This window comes from Homo sapiens, chromosome X (genome assembly GCF_000001405.40).
Source record: "Homo sapiens chromosome X, GRCh38.p14 Primary Assembly".
Taxonomy (NCBI): Eukaryota; Metazoa; Chordata; class Mammalia; order Primates; family Hominidae; genus Homo; species Homo sapiens.
In genome coordinates this window covers 73,792,205-73,810,351 of record NC_000023.11, presented here as the reverse complement: position 1 = coordinate 73,810,351, position 18,147 = coordinate 73,792,205, and the positions used below count along the sequence as shown (strand labels likewise).

At 42.5% G+C, this 18,147-nt stretch overlaps 1 non-coding gene across 1 annotated transcript in view; it reads right to left on the bottom strand.

Annotated features, from left to right (window-relative positions):
- The window catches only part of TSIX (TSIX transcript, XIST antisense RNA), a 37,027-nt gene extending 18,880 nt beyond the window's left edge, over nucleotides 1–18,147 (bottom strand). Inside the window, exon 1 of the transcript NR_003255.2 lies at nucleotides 1–18,147. This exon is cut by the window's left edge and continues 18,880 nt beyond it. This is a non-coding gene — a non-coding RNA (TSIX transcript, XIST antisense RNA).

Sequence of the window (18,147 nt, the reverse complement as noted above, 5' to 3'; positions counted from 1 at the left end):
TGGGTCTGAAAATGTGGGACAACTCTAAGTGGGGGCTTCCAGGTCATAGGAAGACTCAGAGGTTTTCTGATTAAAGTCTTGAAATCAATAGAAGGGAGTATCTGCATTAACATAAGGGGCTTCTGAGACTAAGGCTCTTATGCAGATGAAGCCTCCAGGTAGGAGGCTTCAGAGAGAATAGATTGTAAATGTTTCTTATCAGACTTAAAAAGGTACCAGACTCTTAGTTAATTCTCTCCTGGATAAGCGAAAAGATCTGGAAAGGGAAGGGCATTCTCTACAGAATGTAGGTTTCCCCACAAGAGACAGCTTTGCAGGGCCATTTAAAAATATGTTGAATAAATATATTTTGGGGCCTGCTATCTGTTGTGTTCATATCTTATTGCTACAAAGAGTCTACTTTGTCAATCTTAAGGTCTCTGTTTTAATGTTAATGTTGGTCATTTGTGTCTAAATTCCAAAGGGAGGAGGATATAATGAGGCATGCCTGACCACCCACTTCCATCATGGCCTGAATTAGTCTTTCAGGTTAACTTTAGAATGCCCTTGGCTGAGAGGAGGGGTCCATTCAGTTGGTTGGGGGGCTTAGAATTTCATTTTTGGTTTACAGACCTTATATATTCTTATTTATTTTACTTAGTTATATTTGACTATTCTTATTTCCTTGAAAGAGTCAAGAATTGCCAAGATGAAACACCTTTGGGGTATCTGGACAGGTTTTACCTCTGTCAACCCTTGCAAGAAAATTAGAATTGACTTACCTTGGGGATGGAGAATAGGTGACACTTGTGAATGAAGAAAATATTGTAGTGAAGGCCTTGTGATTGGGAAAATCAGAGGGCTTGGTGAGGGTACAAATGTTGGCTGTTGCTGAAAAGGCTTCTGTGATGGAGAGTGAAGCAACTGGGGTGCAGTGGGGTGGTGGCAGTGGTGCCAGTGGTGCCAATGGTGGTAGTAGCTGCTGAGTGTCAGGCCTCTGAGCCCAAGCCTGCACATATACATCCAGATGGCCTGAAGCAACTGAAGAATCACAAAAGAAGTGAAAATGGCCGATTCCTGCCTTAACTGATGACATTACCTTGTGAAATTCCTTCTCCTGGCTCAGAAGCTCCCCCACTGAGCACCTTGTGACCACTACCCCTGCCTGCCAGAGAACAACTCCCTTTGATTGTAATTTTCCACTACCTACCCAAATCCTATAAAACTGCCCCATCCCTATCTCCCTTTGCTGACTTTCTTTTCAGACTCAGCCCGCCTGCACCCAGGTGATTAAAAAGCTTTATTGCTCACACAAAGCCTGTTTGGTGGTCTCTTCCCACGGATGCACGTGACATTTGGTGCCATAACTCAGATCAGGGGACTTCCCTTGGGAGATCAATCCCCTGTCCTCCTGTTCTTTGCTCCGTGAGAAAGATCCACCTATGACCTCTGGTCCTCAGACCAACCAGCCCAAGGAACATCTCACCAATTTTAAATCTGGTAAGCAGCCTCTTTTTGCTCTCTTCTCCAACTTCTTTCACTATCCCTCAACCTCTTTCTCCTTTCAATTTCTGTGCTACCCTTCAATCTCTCCCTTCCCTTAATTTCAGTGCCTTTCCTTTTCTGGTAGAGACAGAGGAGACATGTTTTATGTGTGAACCCAAAACTCTGACGATGGTCATGGTCTCGGGAAGACAGTCTTCCCTCAGTGTTTAATCACTGCGGGGATGCCTGCCTGATTATTCACCCACATTTCAGAGGTGTCTGATCACCATGGGGATGCCTGCCTTGATCCTTCACCTTGGTGGCAAGCACCACCTCCCCGGGAGGCAAGTACCCCCCACCCCTTCTCTCCGTGTCTCTACCCTCTCTTTTCTCAGGGCTTGCCTCCTTCACTATAGGCAAACTTCCACCCTCCATTCCTCCATCTTCACCCTTAGACTGTGTTCTCAATAACTTAAAACCTCTTCAACTCACACCTGACCTAAAACCTAAACATCTTATTTTCTTCTGCAATACCACTTGACCCCAATACAAACTTGACAATGGTTCCAAATAGCCAGAAAACAGCACTTTCGATTTCTCCATCCTACAAGATCTAGATAATTCTTGTCGTAAAATGGGCAAATGGTCTGAGGTGCCTGATATCCAGGAATTCTTTTGCACATCAGTCCCTATCGGGGGACCTGCCCTGATAATCACGTAGGTTCTTTTCTATTTCCCTAAGCATTGACTGGCTTGAGAAATAAAAGGACAGAGTACAAAAGAGATAAATTTTAAAGCTGGGCATCTGGGGGAGACATCACACATCGGTAGGATCTGTGATGCCCCACAAGCCACAAAAACCAGCAAGTTTTTATTAGGGATTTTCAGAAGGGGAGGGAGTGTGCGAATAGGTGTGGGTGACAGACATCAAGTACTTAACAGGGTAATAGAATATCACAAGGCAAGTGGAGGCAGGGTGAGATCACAGGACCACAGGACCAAGGTGAAATTAAAATTGCTAACGAAGTTTAGGGCACCACTGTCATTGATAATATCTTATCAGGAGACAGGGTTTTGAGATCAACCGGTCTGACCAAAATTTATTAGGTGGGAATTTCCTTTTTCTAATAAGCCTGGGAGCGCTATGGGAGACTGGAGTTTATTTCACCCCTGCAGTCTCAACCATAAGAGACAGGTACGCCCCAGGGGGGCCAGTTCAGAGACCTACCCCTAGGTGCGCATTCTCTTTCTCAGGGATATCCCATGCTGAGAAAAAGAATTCAGCGATATTTCTCCCATTTGCTTTTGAAAGAAGAGAAGTATGGCTCTGTTCTGCCCAGCTCACCGGCAGTCAGAGTTTAAGGTTATCTGTCTTATTCCCTGAACAATTGCTGTTATCCTGTTCATTTTTCAGGGTGCCCACATTTCATATTGCTCAAACACACATGCTGTACAATTTGTGTAGTTAATGCAATTATTACAGGGTCCTGAGACAATATACATCCTCCTCAACTGACAAGATTGAGATTAAATTAAAGACAGGCATAGGAAATCACAAGGGTATTGATTGGGGAAGTGATAAGTGTCCATGAAATCTTTACAATTTATGTTTAGAGATTGCAATAAAGACAGGCATAAGAAATTACAAAAGTATTAATTTGGGGAACTAATAAATGTCCATAAAATCTTCACAATCCACATTCTTCTGCCATGGCTTCAGCCGGTCCCTCCATTTGGGGTCCCTGACTTCCTGCAACAAGTCTTTTCCTAATCTCTGCTCCCAATGTGACTCATCCCAAATCTTTCTTCTTTCTCTCCTGTCTCTTCCTTCAGTCTCCACCCCAAGCTCTGAGTCCTTTGAATCCTCCTTTTCTACAGACCCATCTGACCTCTCCCCTCCTCCCCAGGCTGCTCCTCACCAGGCTGAGCCAGGTCCCAATTTTTCCTCAGCCTCTGCTCTCCCACCCTATAATCCTTCTATCACCTCCCCTCCTCACACCTGGTCCAGCTTACAGTTGCGTTCTGTGGCTAGCCCTCCCCCATCTACCCAACAGTTTCCTCTTACAGAGGTGGCTGAAGCTGAAGGCATAGTCAAGGTTAATGCTCCTTTTTCTTTAGCTGACCTCTCCCAAATCAGTTAGTGTTTAGGCTCTTTTTCATCATATATAAAAACCCAGCCCAGTTCATGGCCCATTTGGCAACAACCCTTAGACACTTTACCACCCTAGCTAGACCCAGAAGGGTCAGAAGGCCGTCTCATTCTCAATATGCATTTTATCACCCAGTCAGCTCCTGACATTAGAAAAAGCTCCAAAAATTAGACTCCAGCCCTCAAACCCCACAACAGGAATTAATCAACCTCACCTGCAAGGTGTACAATAATAGAGAAGAGTTGCAATTACTTGCCTCCACTGTGAGAGAAACCCCAGCCACATCTCCAGCACACAAGAACTTCATAGCACCTAAGCCACAGCAGTCAGGCATTCCTTCCAGACCTCCTCCCCCAGGATCTTGCTTCACACGCTGGAAATCTGGCCACTGGGCCAAGGAATGCTGCAGCCTGGGATTCCTCGTAAGCCATGTCCCATCTATGCAGGACCCCACTGGAAATAGGATTGTCCAACTCACCTGGCAGCTACTCCTACAGCCCCTAAAGCTCTGGTCCAAGGCTCTCTGACTGACACTTTCCCAGATCTGCTTGGCTTAGCAGCTGGAGACTGACGCTGCCTGATCACCTCAGAAGCCTCCTGGACCATCACAGACACTTTAGGTAACTCTTACAGTGGAAGGTAAGTCCATCCCCTTCTTAATCAATATGGAGGCTACCCACTCCACATTACCTTCCTTTCAAGGGCCTGTTTCCCTTGCCCCCATAACGGTTGTGGGTATTGACGGCCAAGCTTCAAAACCCCTTAAAACTCTCCCACTCTGGTGCCAACTTGGACAACATTCTTTTATGCACTCTTTTTCAGTTATTCCCACCTGCCCAGTTCTCTTATTAGGCCAAGACATTTTAACCAAATTATCTACTTCCCTGGCTATTCCTGGACTACAGCCACACCTCATTGCCGCCTTTTCCCCAGTTCAAAGCCTCCTTCGCATCCTCCCCTTGTATCTCCCCACCTTAATCCACAAGTATAGGACACCTTTACTCCCTCCTTGGGGACCGATCATGCACCCCTTAGCATCCCATTAAAACACAATCACCCTTACCCCGCTCAATGCCAATATCCCATCCCACAACATGCTTTAAAAAGGTTAAAGCCTGTTATCACTCGCCTGCTGCAGCATGAGCTTCTGAAGCCTATAAACTCTCCTTACAATTCTCCCATTTTACCTGTCCAAAAACCGGACAAGTCTTACAGGTTAGTTCAGGATCTGCACCTTATCAACCAAATTGTTTGCCTATCCACCCCATGGTGCCAAACCCATATACTCTCTTATTCTTAATACCTCCCTTCACAACCCCTCCACAACCCATTATTATGTTCTGGATCTCAAATATGCTTTCTTTACTATTCCTTTGCACCCTTCCTCCAAGGCCCTCTTTACTTTTACCTGGACTGACCCTGACACCCATCAGTCTCAGCAACTTACCTGGGCTGTACTGCTGCAAGGCTTCAGGGACAGCTCCTATTACTTCAGTCAGGCCCTTTCTCATGATTTACTCTCTTTCCATCCATCTACATCTCACCTTATTAAATATTTTGATGACCTTCTACTTTATAGCCCCTCCTACAAATCTTCCCAACAGGACACCCTCCTGCTGCTCCAACAATCTATTCTCAAAAGGACATTGCACATCTGCCTCCAAAGCCCAAATTTCTTCCTCATCCGTTATATATCTTGACATAATTCTTCATAAAAACACACATGCTCTCCCTGCTGATCGTGTCTGGCTAATCTCCCAAACCCCAACCCCCTTGACAAAGCAACAACTCCTTTCTTTCCTGAGCATGGTTCAGTACTTTTGCCTTTAAATACCTAGCTTTACTGTCCTGACTAAACCATTATATAAACTCACAAAAGAAAACCTAGCTGACCCCATAGATCCTAAATCCTTTCCCCACTCCTTTTTCCATTTCTTAAAACAGCCCTGGAAGCTGCTCCCACACTAGCTCTCCCTAACTCATCTGAACCCTTTTTCATTACACACAGCTGAAGTGCAGGGCTGTGCGGTCAGAATTCTTACACAAGAGCCAGGACCATGACCTGTAGCCTTTCTGTCCAAGCAACTTGATCTTACTGTTTTAGGCTGGCTCCCACATTATTCCTGATACCACACCTGACCCCCATGACTGTATCTTTCTGATCTACCTGACATTCACTCCATTTACCCATATTTCATTCTTTCCTGTTCCTCACCCTGATCACACTTGGTTTATTGATGGCAGTTCCATCAGGCCTAATTGTCACTCATTAGCAAAGGCAGGCTATGCTATAGTATCTTCCACATCTATCCTTGATGTTACCACTCTGTCCACCTCCACTACCTGTCAGCAAGCCAAACTCATTGCCTTAACTCAGGCTCTCACTCTTGCAAAGGGACTACACATCAATATTTATACTGACTCTAAATATGCCTTCCATATCCTGCACCACCATGCTGTTATGTAGGCTAAAAGAGGTTTCCTCGCTATGCAAGTGTCCTCCATCATTAATGCCTCTTTAATAAAAACTCTTCTCAAGGCCACTTTACTTCCAAAGGAAGCTGGAGTCATTCACTCCAAGGGCCATCAAAAGGCATCAGATCCCATCACTCAGGACAGTGCTTATGCTGATAAGGTAGCTAAAGAAGCAGCTAGTGTCCCAACTTCTGTCCCTCATGGCCAGTTTTTCTCCTTCTCATCTGTCACTCCCACCTACTCTCCCACTGAAACTTCCACCTATCAATCTCTTTCCACACAAGGCAAATGGTTCTTGGAACAAGGAAAATATCTCCTTCCAGCCTCACAGGCCTATTCTATTCTGTTGTCATTTTGTAACCCCTTCCATGTAAGTTGCAAGCTGCTATCCTGCCTCTTAAAACCTCTCATTTCCTTTCCTTTGTAAAAATCTATCCTAAAAAAATCACTTCTCTGTCCCATCTGCTATACTACTACTACTCAGGAATTCCTCAGGCCCCCTCCCTTCCCTACACATCAAGCTCGAGAATTTGCCCTGCCCAGGACTGGCAAATTGACTTTACTCACATGCCCCGAGTCAGGAAACTAAAATACCTCTTGGTCTGGGTAGACACTTTCATTGGATGGGTAGAGGACTTTCCCACAGGGTCTGAGAAGGCCACCATAGTCATTTCTTCCCTTCTTTCAGACATAATTCCTAGGCTTGGCCTTCCCACCTCTATACAGTCTGATAATGGACCGGCCTTTATTAGTCAAATCACCCAAGCAGTTTCTCAGGCTCTTGGTATTCAGTGGAACCTTCATACCCCTTACCATTCTCAATCTTCAGGAGAGGTAGAATGGACTAATGGTCTTTTAAAGACACATCTCACCAAGCTCAGCCTCCAACTTAAAAAAGATTGGACAGTACTTTTACCTCTTGCCTTTCTCAGAATTAGAGCCTGTCCTTGAGATGCTAGAGGGTACAGTCCATTTAAACTTTTATATAGACACACTTTCTTGCTTGGCCCCAACCTCGTCTCAGACACCAGTCCTCTAGGAATCTATCTGCTGGTCCTCCAGCAGGCAAGACAGGAAATTTGCCAAGCTGCTAATCTTTTCTTGCCTACTCCATATTCCCAGCCATATAAAGACACCCTAGATGGACGATCAGTTCTTGTTAAGAATCTGACCCCTCAAACTCTATAACCTTGATAGACCGGACCCTACTTAGTCATCTATAATACCCCAACTGCCATCCGCCTGTAAGACCCTCCCTATTAGGCTCACCATTCCAGAATAAAGCTGTGTCCATTGGACAGCCAGCCTAATCTCTCCTCTTCCTCCTAGAAGTTGCAAGTACTCAACCCTACTTCCCTTAAACTCACTCACATTTCTGAAGAACAGTAGTAACCCTTATGAGCCTAAAACATCCTTTCATTCTATTAAGTTTATTACCCTACTTATTGCAACAAGGCTTTATGCAGTCACCCCCACTACTTGGACTGCAACCCCAAAACTTGTCATCCCTACTATCTTCTGTCTAGTCATACTCCTATTCACCATTCTCAACTACTCGTAAATGCCCTGCCCTTGTTTACACTGCCAGTTTACACTTTTCCTCCAAACCATCATAACTCATATCTCCTGGTTTTACCTCAAACCACCTTCCTTAAGTCTCTCTTGAAGTGGATAGAAGATCTTCAGTGACAAGGTACACTCCAATACTTTCACCCTAATAAAGTCCTATTCTTTACCTTTATATTCACTCTTATTCTCATTCCTGTTCTTATGCGACCCTCTACCTCTCCCCAGCTATCTCCACCACACTATCAATCTCATTCACTCTCTCCTAGCTGTTTCTAATCCTTCTTTAAAAAATGATTGCTGGCTTTGCATTTCTCTTTCCTCCAAAATCACTGAGGCCTTGACTTACTGCTCAAAAAAAGGGGACTGTGTGTATTTTTAAATGAAAAGTGTTGTTTTTACCTAAATCAATCTGGCTTGGTATATGACAACATAAAAAAACTCAAGGATAGAGCCCAAAAACTCATCAACCAAGAAAATAATCACGCTGAACCCCCTTAGGCACTCTGATTGGATGTCCTGAGTCCTCCCAATTCTTAGTCCTTTAATACCTGTTTTTCTCCTTCTGTTATTGGGACCTTGTGTCTTCTGTTTAGTTTCTCAATTCATACAAAACTGTATCCAGGCCATCACCAATCATTCTATGTGACAAATATTCCTTCTAACAAATCCACAATATCACCCCTTACCACAAAATCTTCCTTCAGCTTTATCTCTCCCACTCTAGGTTCCCACGCCACCCCTAATCCCACTCAAAGCAACCCTAAGAAACATCACCCAGTAACTCTCCATACCACCCCCCAAAAAATTTTTCACCGCCCCAACACTTCAACACTATTTTGTTTTATTTTTCTTATTAATATAAAAAGACAGGAATGTCAGGCCTCTGAGCCCAAGCCTGCATGTATACATCCAGATGGCCTGAAGCAACTGAAGAATCACAAAATAAGTGAAAATGGCTGGTTCCTGCCTTAGCTGATGACATTTGTGAAATTCATTCTCCTGGCTCAGAAGCTCCCCCACTGAGCACCTTGTGTCCTCCACCCCTGCCCGCCAGAGAACAACCCCCTTTGACAGTAATTTTCCACTACCTACCCAAATCCTATAAAACTGCCCCACCCCTATCTCCCTTTGCTGACTCTCTTTTCAGACTCAGCCTGCCCGCACCCAGGTTATTAAAAAGCTTTATTGCTCACACAAAGCCTGTTTGGTGGTCTCTTCACATGGACGTGTGTGACACTGAGGATGCTGCATTTTGCTTTCATGATCCCAAAGACCCTTTAAAAAGAAAGAGTCAGGAAATGGGGTGGGGGGTATAAAGAGAAAATATAACATAGAAAACTTAAATAGAGCATGTAACAATTGTGTGTATCTCTGTGATTCTTATACTCAAAGGATCATCACAGAATCTTGGAATTTTGTAGGAATGGCAAATATTCTGATGACCTGCTAGTGTGTTAGCCAGTAGGGGTAATATTGAAACAAAGTAATTTTTGCTTTTTTGTAGTTTGGCTGAGGAAAAGGCTTAAAACACATTAGTGTGGCCATCCTCACTGCTACATTCCCATCAGCACCATGACAGTTTACAAATGCCATGGCAATGTCAGGAAGTTACCCTATATGGTCTAAAATGGGAAGGCATGAACAATCCACCCCTTGTTTAGTATATCATCAAGAAAAAAACACAAAAATGGGCAACCAGCAGCCCTTGGGGTTACTCTGTCTATGGAGTAGCCATTCTGTTACTCCTTTACTTTCCTAATAAACTTGGTTTTGCTTTGCACTGCGGACTCGCCCTGAATTCTTTCTTGCACAAGATCCAAGAACCCTCTCCTGGGGGCCTGGATCAGGATCCTTTTCCTATAACATCTTTCTGATTATCACAGAAGGGACTATAGTGCAGAAATACCTGACCCAAAGGTTAATTTTGGGTAAGTGTTGGGGGTCCTATAACATCTTTTTGGCAACCACTGAAGTGACTATAATGCAGAAACCCCCAATCCAAAGGCTAACTTTGGGTAAGTGGTGGGGCCTGATAACATCTTTCTGGTGAAACTCGAAGGGATGATACTGAGGAGACCCCCAGCACAAAGGAAATAGACTGCAGCATTACTAATTGGACAACTTTGGGTAAGTGGTGGGGTACTCAGGCAAAGGATGGGATTGGTTATAGCTCAACTTAGGGGAGTTAGAGTCTCTCGTAAGAGAGGGTTAAAGCTTCCTCTCAATAAAAGGCAAGGATGCTTGACTGACACTGGGTTAGAGGCCCAACTTAGGAGGATTAGAGTCCCTTTTAAGATTTAGGGGGTTAGAGGTCCCTCTCAGTAAAGTCCCTCTCCTTAAAGTCCCTTTCGGCTAAGAACAGGTTTGGCATTATAGGATGTTAACCGCTATTCTCTTTGGATTGATCTGCCTTGCACTCTTTGCTGATGGCTATGGTTGACAGAATTAGGCATGTAGAGGATTGTAGAACATGGGGAGCTTTTCCCTCCTAAAAAGGGAAATGAGAGCTGATGGGACTGCTGGAAAAAATCCGTTCATGACTGACAAGCAGCTGCATGAACTTTTCAGTGTTGCTGCAATGGGTGGGGCTTTCTCTGGCACTCGGAGTGCCGGGCCTTCCCCACCCTGCCTCAGGCAATGCTTTCCTCTCTCTCTCTCTATAAAACTGGTTGAATGGATGGCAAAAATCACTGTTCATTTCCTCTGTAAAGTTTTGATTAGTGAAAAAATGGATTTATGAGGCTAGTCTTAAGTTGTAGCAAATCTGTTGTGTGTCTTTCTGTATTGTTCTGTCATAAAGAGGGGTATCTTAGGATAGAACATGAGCTTAGGACACCTGTAAACCTGCTGTTCAAGATGGCCCAGTAAATTTATCAGGTACAAACTTTGCTGCAGGTCCCTGAAAAAACTGGATGAGGTTTCCTTCTTGTTTTGTATGTCCTTGGGAGCTTGACCTTGTAACCATGTGGCTGTGCTTTTTCTTTTCACAATGGTGGCCTGTGTTCAGGGTTTGATTCCTGCCTTAGGGGATAAGTCCTTTATCTTCTTCTGTGTATTTATTTATTAATTTTTTGAGACAGGGTCTCCCTCTGTCACCCAGCCTGGAGTGCAGTGGCACAATCTTGGCTCACTGCAACCTCTACCTCCTGGGTTCAAGCTATCCTCCTGCCTCAGCCTCCTGAGTAGCTGGGATTACAGGCATCCTCCACCATGCCCAGCTAATTTTTGTATTTTTAGTGGAGATGGGGTTTTACCACATTGACCAGGCTGCTCTCAAACTCCTGACCTCACGTGATCCGCCTGCCTTGGCCACCCAAAGTGCTGGGATTACAAGTGTGAGCCACTGCACCCAGCCTGTCTGTGTATTTATATGTGTTGTGTGTGTGATATAAAAAAGCTTTAATTGGTTCAAAAATAATAAGTGCTTAAATCAGATATTTCATCAGAAAACTAAAATGTATAATGCCTTTTAGTTCATTTGACTTAAGTAATCTTTGGAAAATAGAAAATAGTTTTAAAGATTACTGATAAAATAAAAATATCTTCAAAAATGTAAACATTTGGTCTAAATTAGTCAGGTCAGATATTAAGTTTGCTAACTACTTTAAGGTCATAAACTGCTTCCTTGACTTTTGAAAATTATTCAATGTACCTACCTTGGAGACATTAGATTCTAGATAAGGTCTGGGGACATGTGGAGAGCCAGGCACCCTAGCTGTACTGGAAAGAGTCAGACCTTATCTGCACTTCTGCTTGATGTGTCCTAGGCTAGGCTCCACACTAGTACATAAATAAAATCTCTTTGGGCCTGGATTGGGACCTCTTTCCTGTAACAATTCTAGAACTTTGGGAGGCCAAGGCAGGAGGATTGCTTGGGGCCAGGAGTTCAAGACCAGTTTGAGCAACATAGTGAGACCCTGTGTCTATGAAAATAAAAAAAAATTAAAAACTAGCTGTGTGTAGTGGCACACACCTGTAGTCCTAACTACTCGGGAGGCCGAAATGGAAGGATCCCTTGAGCCCTGGAGTTCAAGGTTATAGTGAGCTATGATTGTGCCACTGCACTCTAGCCCAGGTGAGAGATAAGAGCCTGTCTCAAAAATAAAAAAATTGCAGATAATTTGTATGGAGTGAGAAGTAGGACTTAGACCTTTTGAACACTGTCCCAGTTACCATGTTGCCATCCTTCTTTTCCCTTCCCTCTAATTTTTCTATATAATGTCTAAAAATAAAATAAGAAGCCTAGAAAATCTACACTCAAAGTTCTCAGTTTTGGAGTGATCAAAAATGATTATAAGTGTAAATATTGAAAAAGGAGGACTTGGGATCTATCAAAGGAGTTCACTGAACTGTCAAAGTATGGAATAAAAACAGTATAGGAAATGAGACAAAAAAGAACAAAGAAAATAAAACAAAGATACAGAAGAACTTGAAGATTGCTTTGGGGAGGATAGGAGCAAAAGTGAAGTTAAGCATTATTAAACATATGTAAAGATAGGCCTGATGTTGTTACCATGGTTGGGGTTTCCTGTAATATATTTGAAGTAATGTCATCCTTCCATCTTCCTAATAAATCTTACTTGTTCACTGATCACATCAGTGATTTCTCTTAATTTCTTGACTCCAAAGTAGATATATTTGTCAGTTTATGCAGATTATACCTGCATTTGTGGGATTGTTTGATTAATATATGTCTTCATCCCTCTTCAGACTGGAAGCTTCCTGAAGACAGAGGCCAAGGTCTATTTTAACCACCTTTGTGTTTCTATTACCTGGCACATTCAGGCTCTCAACAAATACATGTTGCCTGAATGAATGAATAACCCAGCAATTAAGCCCAATGTGATATCTAGGTTACTGGTCCTGGTTTAGTTAGCCACTGTTCACAACCCACATGTTCTAGCTCCATACCTTTCCATCTCTATACTAAAGAATCCACTTCTCTCTTATTTCATCTCTACAGTAGAGATGCTCAAAGGGAATTTTTTTTTTTTAGAGAAGTCTCCCTCTTGTCCCCCAGGTTTGAGTGCAATGGCTCGATCTCAGCTCAGTGCAACCTCCACCTCCCGGGTTCAAACAATTCTCCTGCCTCTGCCTCCCAAGTAGCTGGGATTAAGTTGCCTGCCACCACTTCCGGCTAATTTTTGTATCTTTTAGTAGAGACAATGTTTAGTAGAGTCACCATGTTGGCCAGGCTTGTCTTGAACTCCTGACCTCAGGTGATCCTCCCACCTCGGCCTCCCAAAGTGCTGGGATTATGGGTGTGAGCCACTGCACCCGGCCTTTTTTTTTTTTGGCTCAAAGGGAATTTCTTCAGACTTTCTGTTTTGGGTTCATCACTATTTAATTCCCCAATCCACTATAGTCAGCCTACCACTCCCACAACTCCACCGATAGTGTTTTGATAAAAATCACCAATGATCTATCTAAGGGACTCATTATGCTCATCTAAACTGGCAGCTGGCTAACCTGTTTCTGTTGTTATAATTCCTCTTCTCTCTTTTAAAAAACTCCTGCCTCTCTCCCTTAGTTGCTGTAACATATCACTCTATTGGTTTACCTTTAACCTCTCTGGCTATTATTTTTGAACCTACTTGGGCTTTTGCTTGAAGGGTTTACTGCTGTCTTTCCAGATTAAAGTGTTTTAATTACAGAAGCTTTATCTTTACCATAATAGAATTAAAACATTTGCTTATACTATGATAAGAATGATAAATATTAGCAATGAGAAAGAATTTATTGATGTGTAGATAAATGAGGCAATGTAACTATAACACTACCTAGATAAAGATGATTCCATGTTTTCCTGATTTAGTTGAAACTGATTATCTGGCTGAGTTTAGATAGTTTTCTGCCCAGAAGCCAGAACGTTGACTAGGTAACTTATAAGATACTCCTTCTATCCCTGGCATTCTACCATTTATACCACATTTTATGTGTATTTAAAAATATCCAGCCATAGCCAGTCACTCTTCTCACATGGTGGACAGTGGTTCCACTTTTAATTGCTTATTTACAAAGAGATTGACATCTGTATTAAGCTCTATCTCAAAGATGTTTTCATGTTCCTTCTCCACATTGCTTGTGTGAGTCTAAAAAAAAAAAAAGAACAGCAAAGAGATAGCCCTGAACAATGCTATATCCACATGGGACCTGGACTTAGGGAATGACATAAAAATAGAATTAGGGGTTGTGATTTCCACTAGCTACTTTGCTGTCATAGACTGCATATCATCTTTATATGAAATTGCCTTCCATCTAGGTGTTATAGACTGAATTGTGTCCTCTCAAAATTCATATGTTGTAGGTCTGACTCCAAATGTGACTGTATTTGGAGATAGAACCTTTAAGGAGGTAATTAAGGTTAAATGAGGTCATAAGGGTGGAGCCCTAATCCAGTAGGACTGGTGTCCTTATAAGAAGGTGAAGAGGCATCAAACCTCTCTCTCCTCACATACTCAGAGGAAGGACATTTGAAGACACAGTGAGAAAGCGGCCATTGGCAAGCAAGGAAGAGAGACTTCACCAGAAATCAAACTTGCTGGCACTTTCATCTTAGACTTCTAGCCTCCAGAACTGTGAGAAAATAAATTGTTATTTAAGCCACTTGGTCTGATATTTTGTTATGGCAGCTGAGGCAAACTCATAAAGTAGGTGAAGGTGTTTTTACAGAGAAGTTGTAAAAGATACACTTTCCTATCCATTATACATTAGTCTATTCCATGCCTCCTCTTCTGGTTGTGTCTATAACCTCCTTAATTCCCTATAAAGGATATATGTACATAGCACTAGAATCACAGGAGCATTGTATAGTTTCTTTCTTTTTTATTTTTTTGAGAGAAGTTCTGGCTCTACTGTCCAGGCTGGAGTGCAGTGGCATGATCTTGGCTCATTGTAATCTCCACCTTATGGGTTTAAGCCATCCTCCCACCTCAGCCTCCAGAGTAGCTGGGACTACAGGTCCACACAACCACACCAGGCTAATTTTTGTGTTTTTGTAGAGACAAGGTTTCACCATGTTTCCCAGGCTGGTCTCGAACTCTTGGACTCAAGCGATCCACCCACCTTGGCCTCCCAAAGTGCTGGGATTACAAGCATGAGGCACTGCACATGGTCATTGTACATTTTCTTAATGCTGCTGTAACAAATTACCACAAACTTGAGGGCTGAAAATAACACAATTCTAGATGTCAGAAGTCTAAAATGCATCTCATTGAGTTAAAATCACCATGTTGGCAGGGCTGCATTTCTGGAGATTCTAGGGAAGAATCCGTTTTCTTGCCTTTTTCAGCTTCTAGAGGCTACTCACATTTCTTGGCTCATGGCCCCCTTCTTCTATCTTCAAAGCCATCAACTGCTGGTAGTCTTTCCCTCATTGTATCAGTCTGACACTGAATCTCCTGTCTGCCTTTTCCATTTATAAGGACCCTGTGATTACATTGGGCCCACCCATACAAACCAGGAGAATCTCCCATCTCAAGGTCAGCTGATTAGTAACCTTAATTCCCTCTTGCCATGTGATATAGTATAGTTATAAGTTTTGGAGATTACAGTGTAGACATCTTTATGGGGCATTATTCTGTTTATCATTGATGTCTATTCACATTAATGCAGGTAAGAATATGTATAGGTATTATAAAATTGATAATTTCCATATTCTTCCTCTTTCCCACATTTAAATACTGAATACTAATTTTCCTTCTTTTGAAGCTTGGGCCCATTACTACATTAGCACTATTACTGGTGACTTTAGGTTCATCTGGGCACAGTGAGTGCAATAGGAGGAGGGATGTAGAGTACCCATCATGCCATGCACTATGAATTTGCGGATACAGGCTAATCAAAAATTTTTGCCTTGGGCTTTTTTTTTTGAGAGCAGGAGAGATTTGGTATCAATGTATTAAAAAAGCACTTGGATTATCTGTGAATTCTATATGAATAATATAGAATATATTAACATATATTAATATGAATGTAATATATATAATTATATATAGAATATATATAATTCTATAGCATCTGTGAATGCTATAGCTGGGTTCACCCTGCCCCTTAGAAACAAAGAACCCAGAATCAAATTTCTAGGTCTCAACTTCAAGTGCCTCTCTTAGATAATAAAGTGTTAAGTATAATATGTTCTCAGTTATTTCAAATGCTGCCAGTGCTTTTTGGCTTCAGCTAATCTGTGGCTTGACTTGGTTAAGCTACTCAATTAAGAGTAAATATCCACCCTTACCTCAGTCCTTCAAACCTTAATTCTTTCATAATGGGATAAAAACACTCAATGATAAAGTTTAACCCAAAGGTAGACAATTAGAAAAGCTTATCAGCTGTGGGTAAAAGCACATTGTTTTCCCTTTTCCCTTCCCTTCCCTTCCCTTCCCTTACCTTCCCTTCCCTTCCCTTCCCTCCCCTCCCCCCTTTCCTTCCCTTCCCTTTTTTCTTTCTTTTCTTTTTTCTTTTCTTTTTTTTTTGAGACAGAGTCTCGCTCTGTCACCCAGGCTGGATTGCAGTGGTGTGATCTTGGCTCACTGCAAACTCCACCTCCCGGGTTCCAGCAATTCTCCTGCCTACCTCCTGAGTAGCACGGATTATAGGTGCGTGCCACTATGTCTGGCTAATTTTTGTATTTTTAGTAGAGACGGGGCTTCACCATGTTGATCAGGCTGGTCTCCAACTCCTGATCTCGTGATCTGCCCACCTCGGCCTCTCAACGTGTTGGGATTACAGGCATGAGCCACCATGCCCAGCATGTTTTCTAGCAAGATAACAAAGAAGGGTGCATTTGGATTCTTGAATCTTATTCCAAGATCAACTGAGAATTTAGCCATAAGTATTTTGGAAAGTTATTCCACCTCCTTCAAATTGGGTTCTCTACCTTATATATTACATAACAAATGAACACACTTTGATACTTTTCCCAACAAAGCCTTTGGATAGAAACCAAGAAGCTTGGTTTGCTATTTTCATGCTTATGGCATTTGCTCACCTAACTTTTAGTTATGACCTCAAAAGAAAAGGCCCTCCTCTCTTCCTCACACTACTTTGCTCATTATATGTGAAATTCAACTGTCCCTTTGAGGCCAACTACTAATTTTTCCTTTCTGCTTCCCAAGAAAATTAGAGAAATTTCAGAATTCAAATATGACAACTTTTACAAGTCATAGGCCAACCATCAAGTTGTCATCTGTGATATGGAAAGGGGAAGGGGATGGATCTAGGTTCATCAAGCCATGGATTTGGCACTGCTTGACACAATAAGCCTTCCAGATGTCTTTAGTGAATTCATAATTAAAATAGTCAAAAGGATCAATACCTTTGAAGAAACAATCCAAGCTCCAAGGGGCAGAAGTAGGCTGAGTAGTCACTTTAAATTCAATCAATACATTTAACAAATATTCATTGAATACATATTAAATGGTAGTGTTAGGCACTGGCTAATAAACCAACAGACATTGTACCTTATCAAATGGAACTTATGATCTATTGAGGGAGACAGGCAATAACCAAAAAAAAAAAAAAACATATAATTATACATTGTGATAAGAAAATTAAAGGGAAAGAAATAGGATGCAATGACTAATAATGAAAAACAGCATATTTACTTTAGAAAGAGTGATTAGAGAAGAAATCTGTGAAAAGGTAGTATTTAAAGCCAGATGTGAAGGGTAAAAAGAAGCCAGCCAGCCGGGCACGGTGGCTCACACCTGTAATCCCAGCACTTTGGGAGGCCGAGATGGGCGGATCATGAGGTCAGGAGATCGAGACCATCCTGGCTAACTAACACAGTGAAACCCCGTCTCTACTAAAAATATAAAAAATTAGCCAAGCGTGGTGGCGTGCACCTGTAGTTCCAGCTATTCGGGAGGCTGAGGCAGGAGAATGGTGTGAACCCAGGAGGTGGAGCTTGCAGTGAGCAGAGATCGTGCCACTGCACTCCAGCCCGGGCCACAGCGAGACCCCGTCTCAAAAAATAAATAAATAAATAAATAAATAAATAAATAAATAAATAAAAGAAGCCAGACATTGAAGCCATCCAAGTTTGCACTTTCCATGTAATGTAAGTAAAGAACCAATTGAGGTAGATAGAGGTCAGGAAACTGCAGCTAATGGGCCAAATCTGACATGCTGCATCCTTTTTTATAGCCTCCAAGCTAAGAATGATCTTTTACATTTTTATTGATTTTTTTTTCGAGTTGGAGTCTTGTTCTGTTGCCCAGGATGGAGTGCACTGGCGCGATCTCGGCTCACTGCAACCTCTACCTCCTGGGTTCAAGTGATTCTCCTGCCACAGCCTGCTGAGTAGCTGGGATTACAGTGTGCACCATCATGCTCAGCTAATTTTTGTATTTTTAGTAGAGACAGGGTTTCACCATGTTGGCCACGCTGGTCTTGAATTCCTGATCTCGTGATCCACCCACCTCAGCCTCCCAAAGTGCTGGGATTACAGGTGTGAGCCACCACACCCAGCTGATCTTTTACATTTTTA